At 43.1% G+C, this 15,616-nt stretch overlaps 1 protein-coding gene across 19 annotated transcripts in view; it reads left to right on the top strand.

The window, feature by feature from the left end:
* Nucleotides 1–15,616, top strand: part of EFCAB6 (EF-hand calcium binding domain 6) — a 283,528-nt gene that overhangs the window by 32,948 nt on the left and 234,964 nt on the right. For 13 of the 19 annotated variants that reach the window (XR_007067980.1, XM_011530317.4, NM_022785.4 and 10 more), the window contains 2 exons: nt 6,255–6,466; nt 13,965–14,053. The exons of 1 other annotated variant lie outside the window; for it this stretch is intronic. Coding sequence is in view for 14 of the 18 variants with exons in the window: in XM_011530317.4 (XP_011528619.1) it covers nt 6,255–6,466; nt 13,965–14,053 (301 nt within the window). In the remaining 4 variants the exon portion in view is untranslated. The remainder of the gene's footprint in view (nt 1–6,254; nt 6,467–13,964; nt 14,054–15,616) is intronic. 5 more of the 19 variants (XM_011530319.4, NM_198856.3, XM_011530321.4 and 2 more) reach the window with 2 other exon arrangements.

Raw genomic sequence — 15,616 nt, 5'->3', positions numbered from 1 at the left:
GCACAACATATAACTGTAGATATATATTTGTATAACTCATACATCAAATAAGCAAATAAATATTAGACACACTGTTTCCTTTTAAAGTGTTCTTATCTTTGTGTTTCAGGTTGAATCATTTCTATAGACCTGAGTTCATAGTCACGAGTTCTTTTTTCTAGCATGTACACTCTGCTACTAAGCAAAACAAGTGAATTCTTAACTTCTGATATTGTATTTTTAATTTTTAGATTTTTTTCATGTGCTCTTTAAAAATACTTTCCATTTCTCTAGTGAAATTCCCTATATGTTCACCATGTTCTCAGCTTTTCCCTTTCATCTTGCCAACATATTTCCCATTCTCAGTTTGAATACCTGATCATTTCTACCTGGTCATTATTCTTTCTGTGGGTGTTCTTCTGATGACTGTTTTTACCTGGATTAAGTTACCTTTTCTTCTTCACTTGTCTTGCAATTAAAAAAAAAAAGTAATGCCAGATATTTGTGTTAAAAACAGCAGAGACAGAAGTCAATAATATTTACCACCAGAAAAGGAAAGCCTCTTCTTCTCTCAGGTTTCTAGCGAGGTGAGCTCAGTTTAATCTCTCAGGTAAGCTGTGCCTTGACTTTGTTGCAGTTTTAGTTAAATTTGGGTTACCCCTGGTTTCATATGCTTGCCTTCAACAGGTCTTTGAGGTGTGAGCACTGGTGAGACTCCACAGATCTCTCTGCTTTATAGCCCAGCCACCAGCTTTGCATATGGCGGGGAGATCTCTCTCTGCTTTACTGCCTACCTGCCATTTTGGGGGGTTTCATGGGAGGCCTCTTTGTTGTCCAGCTCTGCTGTGGCTTTCTGCACCTGGGAACATCTGTGTCCACCCTGTGGCCCTGATTTAACCTTCAGTGGGCCACTGACACTTAGTGAAGGGCCCATATGCTTCGGAGGGTTCACCTGAGCTCTTGTTCCCTGTATTCAGCCTTTGGTAAACAGCTGCCCCGAACTTGTGCAAAACCTCGTGTGCCATGCTGGGGTGGATCACTCAGCTCTCCTCTAGCCCCAGCCTTTGGTGCAGTGCTACTTACCTGCACTGGGGGAAGGCCCAAGAGGGTGAGCGCAGACCTGCTCTGTGACCAAGGTCCCTGGGAATCTCATCCATCTGTCAGCCTCATGTGGCTGCTAAATACTGGGTCGTTTTCTTCCTACCCTGTCTGTAACGAATTTGCTTTTTACCCACTGTGCCACAGGGCTGGAAGGAGTTATCATTCTTTTTTCTCTGACGAGTGGCTTGTCCTTTCCTGAATTGTAGTTTCTTTGCATCCTCAGATCTCTGGTGGGTTTTAAAACTATATATATATTTTAGCTTATCCTACTTGTTCTCATTGTTAGGGTGACAGTGACAGTCTGTTGTGACTTTCTATATCCTAAGCGGATATAGAAAATTTTGTCAAATTGCCCTCCAGAAAGATTCCATCAATTTGTACTCCCACCAGCAGGTTCTGCAAGGTTGGTTACTGCTTTCATTTTCATCCTCAGACGTTGCATTAGGCACGTGGAATAAAAAGTCTTCCTTTACGTATTTTAAAATAGTCTCAAATCAATATTTTCTGATTCTTTTAAATTACAATTATTGATTGCAATGGTGGGGCTTCTAAGAAAGCAACTAAAAATATATATGAGAAGTCCAAGAGAGGATTTCAAGACAGAGGTGTACATTAACAAGAGGGATCTCCCTCTGACACTGGGGGCAGGAGGAGGATGTTCAGGCTGGTGGGCAGAGGGAGAAAGAGTGCTCACTGGCTGATACTGAAGCACGCAGCTGCTGTGTGTGAATCAGCTGCTTCTGAGATTCTGAGTGACAGCCAGAAATGGAAGGGAAGCCCGAGTGCTTCCTGCATTACTGAGTGTTCTTGGAACTCTTGTGGGAGGGTTAAGTTCCTTCTTCCCCCTCAGGGCTGTGCTCATTCCTCTGTTCCCTGTCTGCCCTCTCTTAAGTGAGTCATCTGGCTCCATGTCCTGAAATGCCACCTGTAACCAAAATGATAGCTCCATCCTCACTTCCCCACTAAGCTCCCGATCGTATATCCAGTTGCCTCGCGGACCTTTCTGCGTGCACCGCATCTAACCGGCATCTCAGACCGGAACTGGCTAAACGGGTCTCTCGACTCCCCCGTGTTCTCCATCTTAGCAGTGACACTGTCATTTATCTCATTGCTCATGTCCAGCACCAAGGGATTATCCTTGATTTCTCTATTTTCTTTAACACCCCTCACACGCCTCCTCAGCCAATCCATCAGCAAAACCTTGTCAGCTACAGATCCGATAGATCATGTCTCCTATCTGTCTACTTTTTGTCTACCTTCAGGGCTACCACCTGGTTTAAGCCACAGTTACCTCCTAGACCTTGAAGCAGCCTCCTCTCTTGTCTCTCTTCCTCATTTTTTGCCCCCTATAATCCATTCTTTACATAGCAGCCAGAACACATTTTTAAAACCCCACACAGAGGCTGTATTAGATAACATTGCTTCCCTCCCTAAACTCTCCTGAGCCTTTCCATTGCACTTTGAAGAAAATGCCATCCTTTCTGCAGGTGCCTGAAGCCTGTGTGGACTGGCCTTTTCCTCCCCTGGCCTGACCTCTCACTGTTCTCCATCCTACCTGCTATGTGCCACACCGTCCACTCCAGCCTTTTTCTTTCATGGACGTATCAAGCTCCTTCTTGCTCAGGGGTTCTTCACTGGTTGCTATGGTTTCCCTGTTGAAGACATTCTTACTTCAGCTTCTTGACTGGCTGGCTCATTTTTATCCTTCCGGGTTTCAGCTCACAAACCCACTTTGGAGCAGACTTCCTTGACCATCCCCTCTAAAGCAGCCCCCAGCTGCACTCTGCCTCATTGTTTTGTCTTTCCATTTTCATTGCACGTGTCACTGTGCGCCATGACCCTATCATTTGTTTATTTATTTATTGGCTTCTTGTCTGTCGTCTCACCTCCAGATTGTAAGCTGTACCTGTCTTATTCACTGCAGTACCGTCAGGGCTGAAAACAGTGGTTGAAATATGATAGTTGTTGACATACGACATTTTTCGAATGAATCAATTCCACTTCCTTACAAGTCAGTGTTTCCCACGGCCCCTTCTCCTCTTCCCATTGGGCCTGTTTCCCTGTGGCCTCCATGCAGGTGGTTCCCACACTTGCATCTCCACTCCAGCCTCTCTTATCTCCAGAGCATGTATTCAACTTTCAGATGGACATCCCGCTTAGATATCCCAGGCTGAACTCATTCTCTTTCCATAAGCCTTTTCCTCTTCTGTTCCAGGTATCTATTGCTGTGTGCAAATGCCCTAAACATTGTGGCTCGAAATAGCAACAGTCATTTATTTTGCTCACAGATCCACAGTTTGGGCAGGTCAGCTTGTCTCTGCTCTATGCAGTCCAGCTGGGGAGGTGCAGAGGCTGGGCTGATGTCACATCGGGGGCCAGAGTCCTCGAATGGCTAGCAGTTGATGCAGCTGTTGCCTGGAACCTCAGCTAAGGCTGTTGCCCAGAACTCCTATATGTGGCCTGCCAGGGTGGCTCCTTGGCCTCCTCACAGCCAAGTGGTGTCTGTGTGTGAGCATCTAAAGAGGACCAGGCATGGCCGGGTGCGGTGGCTCACGCCTGTAATCCCAGCACTTTGGGAGGCCGAGGCGGGTGGATCACCTGAGGTCAGGAGTTCGAGACCAGCCTGGCCAGCATAGTGAAACCCCGTCTGTATTAAAAAATACAAAAATTATTCAGGCATGGTGGCAGGTGCCTATAGTCACAGCTACTCGGGAGGCTGAGGCAGGAGAATTGCCTGGACCCAGGAGGTGGAGGTTGCAGTGAGCCAAGATTGTGCCACTGAACTCCAGGCTGGGAGACAGCAAGACTCCATCTCAATAAATAAATAAATAGGACCAGGCAGAGGCCGTAGCAGCTTGCGTGACCTCATCTTGGAGATCACACATGTCATGTATCATACTGATAGATGTCCATTCTGCCATAGTCATGGGCCCACCGGATTCAAGTGGGGAGCGTATGCCCACTTTTGCAGGGAGGAGTGTTAACATGATATTGTGTTGGGAGATCTTGCCATTCCCATCTTGGAAAATACCATCTGTTGCATCTTCCCTCTTCCCTTTCTAAGTGAAGGGTGCTGCCCCTGCCCAGCCACCCAGGCCAGACGCAGGTGTTCCATCCTCTCTCCATCCCTCACCTGGCCCCTCCAATCAGAGGAGTCTGTAGACCTCCCCGCTTGACCTTTCTTTTATTCATGTGAAGTCTTTTTGCTCTGTGACCATCACGCTAGTACGGTACTGTGTCACTCCTCTCCTAAGAAGCTGTAGTCACCCAGCCTGTCTCCACCCCATCACTCTCCTTCCCTTTTGGTTCCTCCTCCACGTGGTACCAGGGGGAAGGTGAAGAATGAAAATAGGGTTATGTTGTTCTTTTGATGACAGTCCCACTGTGCCATCTCATAACCCCAGAGCGTGAAGCCCAAGGACAGGCCCTGCTGACTTTTCCCGTCATCTCTTGGCCGATGCAGCTCTGCTTGTCCCCACCCCCATCCCCCTTTTGCCCAGGCTGGCCACGCCCCACAGCAGCCCCACTTCCAGCTGCGTTCCCTCAGGATCACCAAGTTGCTTTCCACTGAGTGGGCTTTCCTGTCACCTTCCATCCTGTCACCGGAAACCAGCCATCCTCTGTTTAGGTCTCCCGTGCTCCCTGCAGACACCTAATGCCTGTCTCCACACTGGACCGCCGCATCCCAGTTACCGAATCACCTCCCTCCCTGAGGCTGTGGGCATCAGGAGCGAGAGTCATCCCCAGCCCCCGGCACAGGCCCTGCGTGCGCTGGGCCCTCAGTGGGTGTCGGGGGAGAATCGCCGATGGCAGCGCAGTCCCTGTGTGGCGTGGAAGTGCCCCCCAGAGCCTGCTGTGCTGTGGCTCATGGGGTTAGGGTCTGCAGCCAATCTCCATGGCAGCGTCACTGTGGGGTGCCTGCACGTTGTCTCTTGTATCCCCTCAAGCAGAAGACAGCCCAGCCCACCCTACAGCTCTGAGGAAATCCTAGCCTGCCCTCTGGGTGGGTTCAAGTTGGTGCACCGAGATCTTTGGCATCTTTTACCTGCCCAGGTCACCCCAAGACTAAAGCTATCACTGTCCTTATGCCAGAAATGTGCAATAGCTTGATAAGAAATTTTCATTCAAAGGGAAAGAACTAGCATCCTCCCTCCCTAGCTGCTGCTTGTGAATATTATTATAAAGGATGAGGCAATGTTAAAGCCCTTTAACATACATCTAGGATTTACTATGTAATTTCCTACCTATTGTTCCTCTAGTTGTCTTTGTCTTGGAGAGGGGAAGGAGGCCTATGGTGTATCACCTCTCCTTTGCTGACACAGGGAGCTCTGGGACCTAAAACGTTAGTCAAGACATTATTCCTTTCCTTCCAAAAAGTTCAAAACCCAAAAGCTTATTTAGACCACTCAAAACATTTTTCTTTTTTTTCTGAGACGGAGTTTCACTCTTGTTGCCCAGGCTGGAGTGCAATGGCACGATGCCAGCTCACCGCAACCTCAGCCTCCCAGGTTCAAGCTATTCTCCTGCCTCAGCCTCCTGAGTAGCTGGGATTACAGGCATGTGCCACCACACCCAGCTAATTTTGTATTTTTAGTAGAGATGGGGTTTCGCCATGTTGGCCAGGCTGGTCTCGAACTCCTGACCTCAGGTGATCCGCCTGCCTCGGCCTCCCAAAGTGCTGGGATTACAGGCGTGAGCCACCGTGCCCAGCCCTCGGAACATTTTTATATCTGCATTTTAGCGTCCATCTCTTCCCTGTCTTTGAAAGGGAAATGGTCTGGGTTTAAGAATTACATGTTTTTCCCTCAAAAATTGGCAAGGGGATGAAAGGTGAATATGATATTTTAAAGATTTATTTGAATGATATTGACTAAATTTTCTTTCAATATCCATGTTTTTCACTTGTACTGACCTATGTCCTTTACAGGGAAGATTCTCTTTTTTTTTCTTACTATTGTGATTACTATTATTCTATATTGACCAAATTTCAGAGTTGAAAGATGACCGAGTAGATTTTTCATTACAAGTCATCTAACGGTGATACACGTAAACCTAGATATGGTGGGAGAAATACCATCTAATAAGTTTTCTTGGTTCCGTTCAACAGTGCAAGAGTTTCTGTTTAGTATCTTGGCTTTAAACATGTTTAATAAATAGCTGTATCTCTTTTATAGCCACAGCTGTTGCAAATCCAACACTGTCCTCCTTAGATGTTAAACGGATTTTATTTCAAAAAATTACCGACAGAGGGGATGAGTTGCAAAAAGCCTTTCAGCTGCTGGATACTGGTCAGAACTTGACTGTGTCAAAAAGTGAACTGAGAAGAATCATCACAGACTTCCTGATGCCGCTCACACGAGAACAGTTTCAGGACGTGTTGGCTCAGGTGCTGTATGTTGTACATACTTAGAATCCCTCAATTCCAGACAAGCTGAGGTAGATCAGGGGAGCAGGTAACCTCTCCTGTCTTTGTCCCCACTGTTGCCACTGAGCAGTTGAAGTTTTGTTTTTCATAATTCAGTTAATTAAGGCTGATGTAGATGATCACGATCAACAGCTACTCGGTCATATTTTGCATGTAGCGCTGCTCCAGCCAGTTTCTTTTCATTTCTTTCTTTCTTTTTTTTTTTTTTTTTGAGACAGAATTTCACTCTTGTTGCCCAGGCTGGAGTGCAATGGTGTGATCTTGGCTCACCGCAACCTCCGCCTCCCAGGTTCAAGCAATTCTCTGGCCTCAGCCTCCTGAGTAGCTGGGATTACAGGCGTGGGCCACCATGATGCCTGGCTAATTTTGTATTTTTAGTAGAGATGGGGTTTCACCATGTTTCCAGGCTGGTCTCGAACTCCTGACCTCAGGTGATCTGCCTGCCTTGGCCTCCCAAAGTGCTGGGATTACAGGCATGAGCCACTGCACCCGGCCTTCTTTTCATTTCTTTTAAGGGTCCATATAAATGTATTTGGGTCAACTTCTATTTTGGAACTTAGTATTTTGGCATTTTTTCCCTTCATCAAATAGTTACGGAGCATTGGCTTTATGCTAGAGCCAATGCTAGACACTGCGGTGCAGATAAGTCAGACTCAGGCCCTGCCCTTGAGGAGCTCCCAGCCCAGTGAGACACTTACGGAGTGTTGGCAAGTGCTGGGAGAGGGGCCACGACAGGGTGGCTGGGAGTTACTGGAGGGAGAGCTATCTGAAAATGAGGAGAGGTAGTCCAGGAAGGCTTTCTGGACGAGGGGCATTTAACTTAGTTTTGACGAAGGAGTGAGTATTCTCGAGATGAGAGGGGAAGGAAAGGTCATTATAGCAGAGGGGACAGCCTGTGTGAAAGCTTGGATGCCTGCATCCGCCTGCCATGCTTACTCAGGGACCTGGGTAGTTCTGTGACTTCTATCGGAAGTGAAGGGATATGGGTCATGTTGTGGCCAGAAGGGCCAATTCAGAAAAGTACTTCGTAAAACAGTTCGACATTTATCCTAGAGGCTGTAGGGAGCCGGTGAAGGGTTTGCAGCAGGGGTGATGCAGTTACATGGGGAGGGATGTGGAGGATGAAGGCCCTTGGCCACCTGGTGGTGTGCCACACCAGGGGGATGAAAGGAGTAAAAATCTGTGGACTGTATCCTTGGGGGCCTTAAAAAAGGAATATGAAATGCAGTAGGAGTCAAACCCTTTCAAAATCAGTCTGTAATGATCAAAAGTAGAAAATTTGGGCTAGAATATCATTAGTATTCCATTTAACCCAATAACTAAATTTGTACACACACATGCATGCACACACACAGACAAGTATATATGTATTTACTCATTCATTAGTTTTTTTAAATTAATTAATTAATTTATTTTTTATTTTTTGATGGAGTCTCACTCTGTCATCCAGGCTAGAGTGCAGTGGCGCTATCTTGGCTTACTGCAACCTCCGTCTCCAGAGTTCAAGTGATTCTTGTGCCTCAGCCTCCCGAATAGTGGGATTACAGGCATGTGCCACCATGCCCAGCTAATTTTTAAATTTTTAGTAGAGACGGGGTTTCTGCATGTTGGCCAGGCTGGTCTCGAGTTCCTGACCTCAAGTGATCAGTCTGCCTTGGCCTCCCAAAGTGCCGGGATTACAGGGGTGAGCCACCGTGCCTGGCCTCATTCATTAGTTCTTAATCAGAGTCTGACTTGATGCTACCTCCTAGCAATTTAAAAACTTACTTCTTTTAGAATTTGCTGTGTACTACAACCCACTGTGTATACTTCCAACACAGGGGAATGATCTGTTATCAAAACAAATAGCTCAATGAATTTCAGGCATTCCCAAATTCTAGTCTTAACTTCAAGGACTGACTCTCTCTCTCTCTCTTTTTTTTTTCTGACTTAAAATTAAAAAAAAGTACAGTTCTATTTGTTGTTTCTTCTTATGCATACCATATTCTGTTTCAAAGTTTTCTCTTCCTTTTAATTCTGTCTTTTTTTTTGAATTTGTGAAGTTTTGAGCCATAATTTTCTCAAATTTTTTTCTGTCCCATTCTTTCCTCTCTTAAACATTTTGATATTGTCCCACTGGCCCCTGAGGCTCAGTTCATTAAAAAAAGTTTTATTCTATCATTCAGATTGGATAATGTCTATTGATCTGTCTTTAAGTTCACCGACTCTTATCATCTTCATTCTGCTGTTAGCCCCATCCCTTGAATTTTTACTTTTAGACATTGTATATTACAGTTGTAGAATTTCCATTTAATTCCTCTTTATGATCTCTTTACCTGCTTAGATTTTCTGTTTTTCTGCAGTTATGAGCATATGTCTTTCAACTCATTGAACATAGTTAAAATAGCTGCTTTAAAGTTCTTGTCTAGTAATTTTCACATGTTAGTCACCTCAAGGTTGACCTGCATTGATGGTCTTTTCCATTGAGAGGGGTCTTATTTCCCTGGCTGTTCATATTTGAGTATGTTTGGATAATATTTCAGAACAGAGCTAATAGAAGCATACTGTGAGTAGGTCAGGTGTGGTGGTTCACGCCTGTAATCCCAATGCTTTGGAGGCTGAGGTGGGAGCATCATTTGAGCCAAGGAGTTCAAGACCAGCCTGGGCAATATAGGAAGACCCCATCTCTACAGAAAATTTAAGAATTAGCTGACCTTGGCTGGGTACGGTGGCTCATGCCTGTAGTCCCAGCACTTTGGGAAGCCAAAGCAGGCAGATCACCTGAGGTCTGGAGTTCGAGACCAGCCTGACCAACATGGAGAAACCCCGTCTCTACTAAAAATACAAAAAAATTAGATGGACATGGTGGCACATGCCTGTAATCCCAGCTACTCAGGAGGCTGAGGCGGGAGAATTGCTTGAACCCGGGAGGCAGAGTTTGTGGTGAGCCGAGATGGTGCCACTGCACTCCAGCCTGGGCAACAAGAGCAAAACTCCATCTAAAAAAAAAAAAAAAATTAGCTCACCTTGAGCCCAGGTGTTGGAGGTTGCAGTGAGCCACGATCACGCTAATGCACTCTAGCACCCTCATGGGCACTGACACCCCACTATGATGATGCCCTCCTCACCCCATATCCTCCTCTGGGCTTTGATGGCTCCTCCAACACTGTGATGTCATTTTCCTCTGTCCCATCTGATGACTTTAGGACTGAATTGTTAGAAAAGATAGAAAAGGAGGAGGAAGACAGAACTTTTCTCTTCCCTTAAAAAAAAATTTCCCCTTTATTTACTTCTATAATAATGGATAAAATAGTGCATTTGATTTTTTCCACATCACCCTTTATTGCTGTCTACATTTTTAATAGCAGCTTTATTAAGGTATAATTTACGTATCATAAAATTCACCCTTTAAACATGTATAAATTGGTGTTTTTCATATATTCATAGAGTTTCGCAGTCATCACCACTATCTAATTGAAAACCGTTTTCATCATTCCAAAAAGAAACTGTCCTCCTTAGCAGTTACTCTCCATTTCCTTTCCACTGTATCTGCAAATACTAATGTACTTTCTGTCACCATAGATTTGTCATTATAGATTCTGGATATTTCATATCAATGGAGTCATACAAGATATGATCTTTTGTGTCTAGCACATGTTTTTAAGGCTCACCCATGTTACAGCATGAATTTGTACCTCATTCCTTTTTATGGCTGAGTAATAGTCCATTGTATGGATAGACCACATTTTGTTTACCCTTTGATCGGCTGATGGACCTTTGAGTTGTTTCCACGTTTTGACTTTTGTGAATAGCACTGCTGTGAACATTCATGTGAAAGGTTTTCGTGTGAACATATGTTTTCAGTTCTCTTGGGTACATACCTAGGGGAGAACTGCCATGTCATATGGTAGTGTTCTTTTGCTTTTAAAGAACATTCATCCTTGTAAACATTGTATCAGTTTCCTCATAAACTTGATTTAAGTGATACTTTATGCCAAATGGAGAGTTAAAATATTATTTCCTGCTATGTGTCCTTATAGTCATGATCTAATGTTAATTTAAAATTTTGACAATCTTCCCAAGCTAATCAGTTATGCAGGAAGAGCAAAAGTACAGAAAATATGAAATGTGTATCTGTTTTTAAAAGCTACATCTGTTTTTAAAAGAAGCCACTGAGAACTGTAGAACTTCAAAGACTTTTTAAAAAACAGGTCTTGATAGTCTGTCCTAAATGACAAGTAAGATTCCCAGAACCTTAAGCTCCTGTGACATGTGTGTCAATCAAGGAGGCTGGAGTGTGGCACATTGCAGGAGGCCAAGGTCATTGGGAATGAAGGGCATGGCTTCCCTTCTCTATCCACAGACTTCCCAGCATCTGTGGCTTTTCTAGATGGTTCTATGATGAATCCATTTGGTGATACATGCTCTTTCTTTTTTAGTAGTTAATGTAAGCCTAACTGGACACTTACAAAATGAGTAAAAGATTTCATGGTAATTTCCCCTTAAAGTTGGGAAAGAATTTTCCAGTTATAGTCTGAATTTACTTTAGCTTCAATTTTATTTGAAGACCTGTGTCAGGAATGTTTGAGTGTCAGGGTGTTTTAATGACTGACCAGGGCAGGAAGTATGAGGAGGTTTTTCTTGCAATCTGCTCCGTACCTTTGTTTCCATTAAGAGTGATGCAGACTCGGTGTTTTATAAAAATGTGGCCTCAGTCCCTGAATATTAATGGAGGCCATTTAAAAGAAGTTGAATTGGTAAATTGATTCCAGAGAAGGAAAACAAAGTTGTGTTTTCATCCCAGTGGTTGTGCCAGGTTGGAGAAAATGTCTTCTTGCAAGATACTTATCACAATGACGGATACTGATCTAAAAACTAGCCTCCTCCAGCCCCACCCTTAAGAATTCGCTTTCAGCAATTCGTCTATAGATGGTTTTGATTCTTAAACATTTTGCCAGAATTGTAAACACCAAAAGGCAAGTACTGAGCAGAGCCTCTCCCTTTGGACTAGATTCTTTACTTGTCTAAGGGGCTTAGCTTTGGAGACTATCATCGCAAGAATTTCTTTACCACATTAGAATTTGTGTTAGACTATAAGTAGCAATATGAAATGCAATGAAAGCTTGAATAATTTGACGGGCTGTCTTTTTCTTCATGGGTAGGGTGGTTAGTGCAGTGGGATGGACTTGCACTCTGGATTCACAGAGATCGCTGGCACTCATGGCGGTGCCGGGCAGGGAGGCCATACCTCTGCTTTGTGAGTTGTAGAAAGTGACACCACCTCTGAGGGTGGTTTTAGGGCTACTCATGTAAAACACTGAGAATAGTGCCTGCATCCAGTCAGTGTGAGCTCTGCAAATGTAAGTTTCTTCTCTTCCTCATTTCCTCTTATCACTTCCAAAACCAGGAGGGCACCCAACCTTGAACTACATGTTTAATCTGCTCTTGCCCTTCTTCTGCAAGGCTAGGGAAACTGAAATGCTTGCTCAAAATTATATCTACTTAAAAATGCATTATCAGAAAAGAAGTCACAGGCATTCTTTCCAGGAAAAGGCTTTACAGAGGCCCACCCTGTGAGCCCCTCTCCACTGGTCTCATTTCCTAGTTACACATGTTTTAAATAGTAAACAGCAATCCATCCTTTGGAGAAGACTGCAATAACCATGCCAGGCTTTGAGGCCGGCATTTTAAGGGCTTAGTAAATAACAGATTTGATTGTGTAGAGTTGGGAGCCATTCAGCTGTATGGGAAATTGTACTTTGTGTATTTGTGTGAAGCTTGATGAAATAGATTTATATTGATTGTATATTTATTTAATGTTTATCTAAATTTTAGATTCATAATGCTTCTTTGGAAATATTTTATTAAATAAAATTTAACTTTTTGCTTAGAAATAATCTCAAACTGAATTGCTTGAACCCAGGAGGTGGAGGTTGCAGTGAGCCAAGATTGTGCCACTGCACTCTAGCCTGGGCAACAGAATGAGACTCCATCTCAAAAAAAAATTAAATAAATAAATAAAAGGAATAATCTTAAACCTGTAGAAAAGTTGCAAGAATAGGCCAGGCACATTGGCTCACGCCTATAATTCCAGAACTTTGGGAGGCCAGGTGGGTGGATCGCTTGAGGTCAGGAGTTGGAAACCAGCCTGGTCAACTTGATGAAACCCTGTCTCTACTAAAAATACAAAAATCAGCCGGGTGTGGTGGTGAACACCTGTAGTCCCAAGCTCTCGGGAGGCTGAGGCAGGAGAATTGCTTGAACCCGGGAGGCAGAGTTTGCAGTGAGCTGAGATCCTGCCACTTTACTCCAGCCTGGGTGACAGAGTCTCAAAAAAAGAAAAGTTGCAAGAATAAGAAAAGTACAAATAGCACTCATATGGTACAAATAATGCCCATATACCCTCATTGAGATTGACCTATTGTGAACATTTTACCTCATTTGTTTCTTCTGTGATCTCTCATTATCTGTGTGTATGTGTATGCACACAACATACACAAACAATGTACACATATATATATATTTAAAAACACTTGAGGGGGGCCAGGTGTGGTGGCTCATGCCTGTAATCCCAGTACTTTGGGAGGCTGAGGCAGGCATATCATTTGAGGTCAGGAGTTCAAGACCATCCTGGCCAGCCTGGGGAAACCCCATCTCTATTAAAAATTCAAAAATTAGCTGGGTGTGATGTGTGCCTATAGTCCCAGCTGCTCCAGAACCTGAGGCAGGAGAATTGCATGAACCGGGGAGGCGAAGGTTGCAGTGGGCCGAGATTCTGTGACTGCCCTCCAGCCTGCGTGACAGAGCGAGACTCCATCTCAAAAAACAAAAACAAAAACAAACAAAAAACACTTGAGGGGAAGTTGCTTGTATCATAGTTCTTTACCCCAAAAACATCAGTGTACATTTCCTAAGAGCTATTCTTTTACATAATCACAGTGCACCTATCAATGTCAGCAAATTAAACATTGAGATAATACTTTTATTTAATCTACAGTCTGTATTGACCCACTTGACCCAATGATATCCTTTGTGGAATTTTTAATTTAAAAATGGATTTTTTTCTACCTTAAAACTGTATGTACAAACTCGTGTACAAAGTTCACGTGACACTCAGTATAAAATTGTGCTATGGCCTCAGCTTCTAATATGTATTATATGTGTAACACATATTAGAGTATATATAGAGTATATTTATGCTTATTTTTTAGGCGATTTTAAATAATTTTGTAGATAACTCGACTTTCAGTTGGGCACAGACTGGCATTCTAGGGTGCTATTTACACTCTATTTGCTGAGAATGCATGTTCACCGTGACACCTGGGTTAAGCAGTTGTATTTAAATGTTTAATGGAATGCTCGTCCTGTTAATAGTATTCTCTGTTACATCCTGAGAGCTGTGATTTAGAAATCTGCTTTACCGTCTATTGCTTGGATCTTAATTCTCTAACATGTTGTCATTCTTCTCCCTTGACTGTAGATCCCCCTTAGCACCTCTGGTACTGTACCGTACCTTGCCTTTCTGTCCAGGTTTGGTGGAATTGACCTATATATAAATGGTATAAAGAGGTAAGTGTTTGGTTTGCTCATGTGAAAATGTGAAATTTGAAATGATGAGTAAGAGCTATGACGTGAAGCCATTGGAACTAATCATATCAACAGCTATATATGGAAGATGAGTTTGTAGAACTTGTCCATATGGAATTTAATGGAATTAATCCAGTCAAGTTTTATTTAGGGAAGATTTTAGCATCTATATAGGATGTATTTCAAAACAAGAGGAATGATACTGTAATAAAATGTAAACACAGCAAATTAAAACCAGACAAAAATAGTTTACATGCAATATATTTAAAATTGGAATTAATGGAATTTAATTTTGAAGTAAAATATTAAGATGCCAAATTTAAAATTTGTAGGTTTTTATACATTTTTAATGTTGTTATTGGAAAGTGATGATGTTTTCGTGGCTAGAAATAATAAAAAAAGATCTTTGTATGAACTACTTGAATATTTCATAGTTTTTGCATAAAGCATGGGACTCTTTTTTTTTTGCAACATGAGCAGGTTGGAGTTTGACCTTTAATGTCTCAATCAGCAGTAAAATTATTTATTTTAGTGTATGATTTAGGAAATATTGTTTTAGTAATAAAAATATTTACTTATATCTGACTCTAAATGAATAAGCTTCATTTCCTCAGGAGTTGTGTAACCAATTATATATAAGAATTAAATTTGTAGTTCAGCCACTATGAGAAGCAGTTGGAGATTTCTCAAAGAACTTGGAACTATCATTGGACCCAGCAATCCCATTACTAGGTATATACCCAAAGGAAGACAAATCATTCTACCAAAAGACACATGCACTCATATGTTCATCGCAGCACTAGTCACAGTAGCAAAGACATGGAATTAACCAACCTAGGTGCCTACCAATGGTGGATTGAATTTTAAAATGTGGTACATATACACCATGGAATACTATGCAGCCATTAAAAAGAATGAAATCATGTCTTTTGCAGCTGGAGGCCATTATACTAAGCAAATTAATGCAGGAACAGAAAACCAATACCACATGTTCTCACTTACAAGTGGGAGCTACACATTGGGTACATGTGGACATAAAGATGGGAACAGCAGACACAGCAGACAACTAGAGGGGGAAGGGATGGGGGCAAGGGCTGAAAAACTATTAGGTACTATGCCCACTACCTGGGTGACAGGATTATTTGTACCCCAAACCTCAGCATTAGGCAGTATACCTATGTAACAAACCTGCTCATGTAACTCCTTAATCTAAAATAAAACTTGAGGCTGGGCGTGGTGGTTCACACTATAACCCCAGCACTTTGGGAGGCTGAGGTGAGAGGATCACTTGAGCCCAGGAGTTTGAGACCAGCCTGGACGATATAGTGAGATCTCATCTCTACAAAAAACTTAAAAATTAGCTGAGCATGGTGGCATGCCCCAGGTACTCGGGAAGTTAAGGTGGGAGGATCACTTGAGCCCAGGAGGTGGAGGCTGCAGTGAGCCAAGATTGTGCCACTGCACTCCAGCCTGGGTGACAAAGTGAGACTCTGTCTCAAAAGAATAAAAATAATAAAAAATAAAAGTTGAAATTATAAATACACT

Source organism: Homo sapiens, chromosome 22, assembly GCF_000001405.40.
Source record: "Homo sapiens chromosome 22, GRCh38.p14 Primary Assembly".
Lineage (NCBI taxonomy): Eukaryota > Metazoa > Chordata > Mammalia > Primates > Hominidae > Homo > Homo sapiens.
Note: the sequence above shows the minus strand (reverse complement) of the source record. Positions and strands in the feature narration are given on the sequence as shown.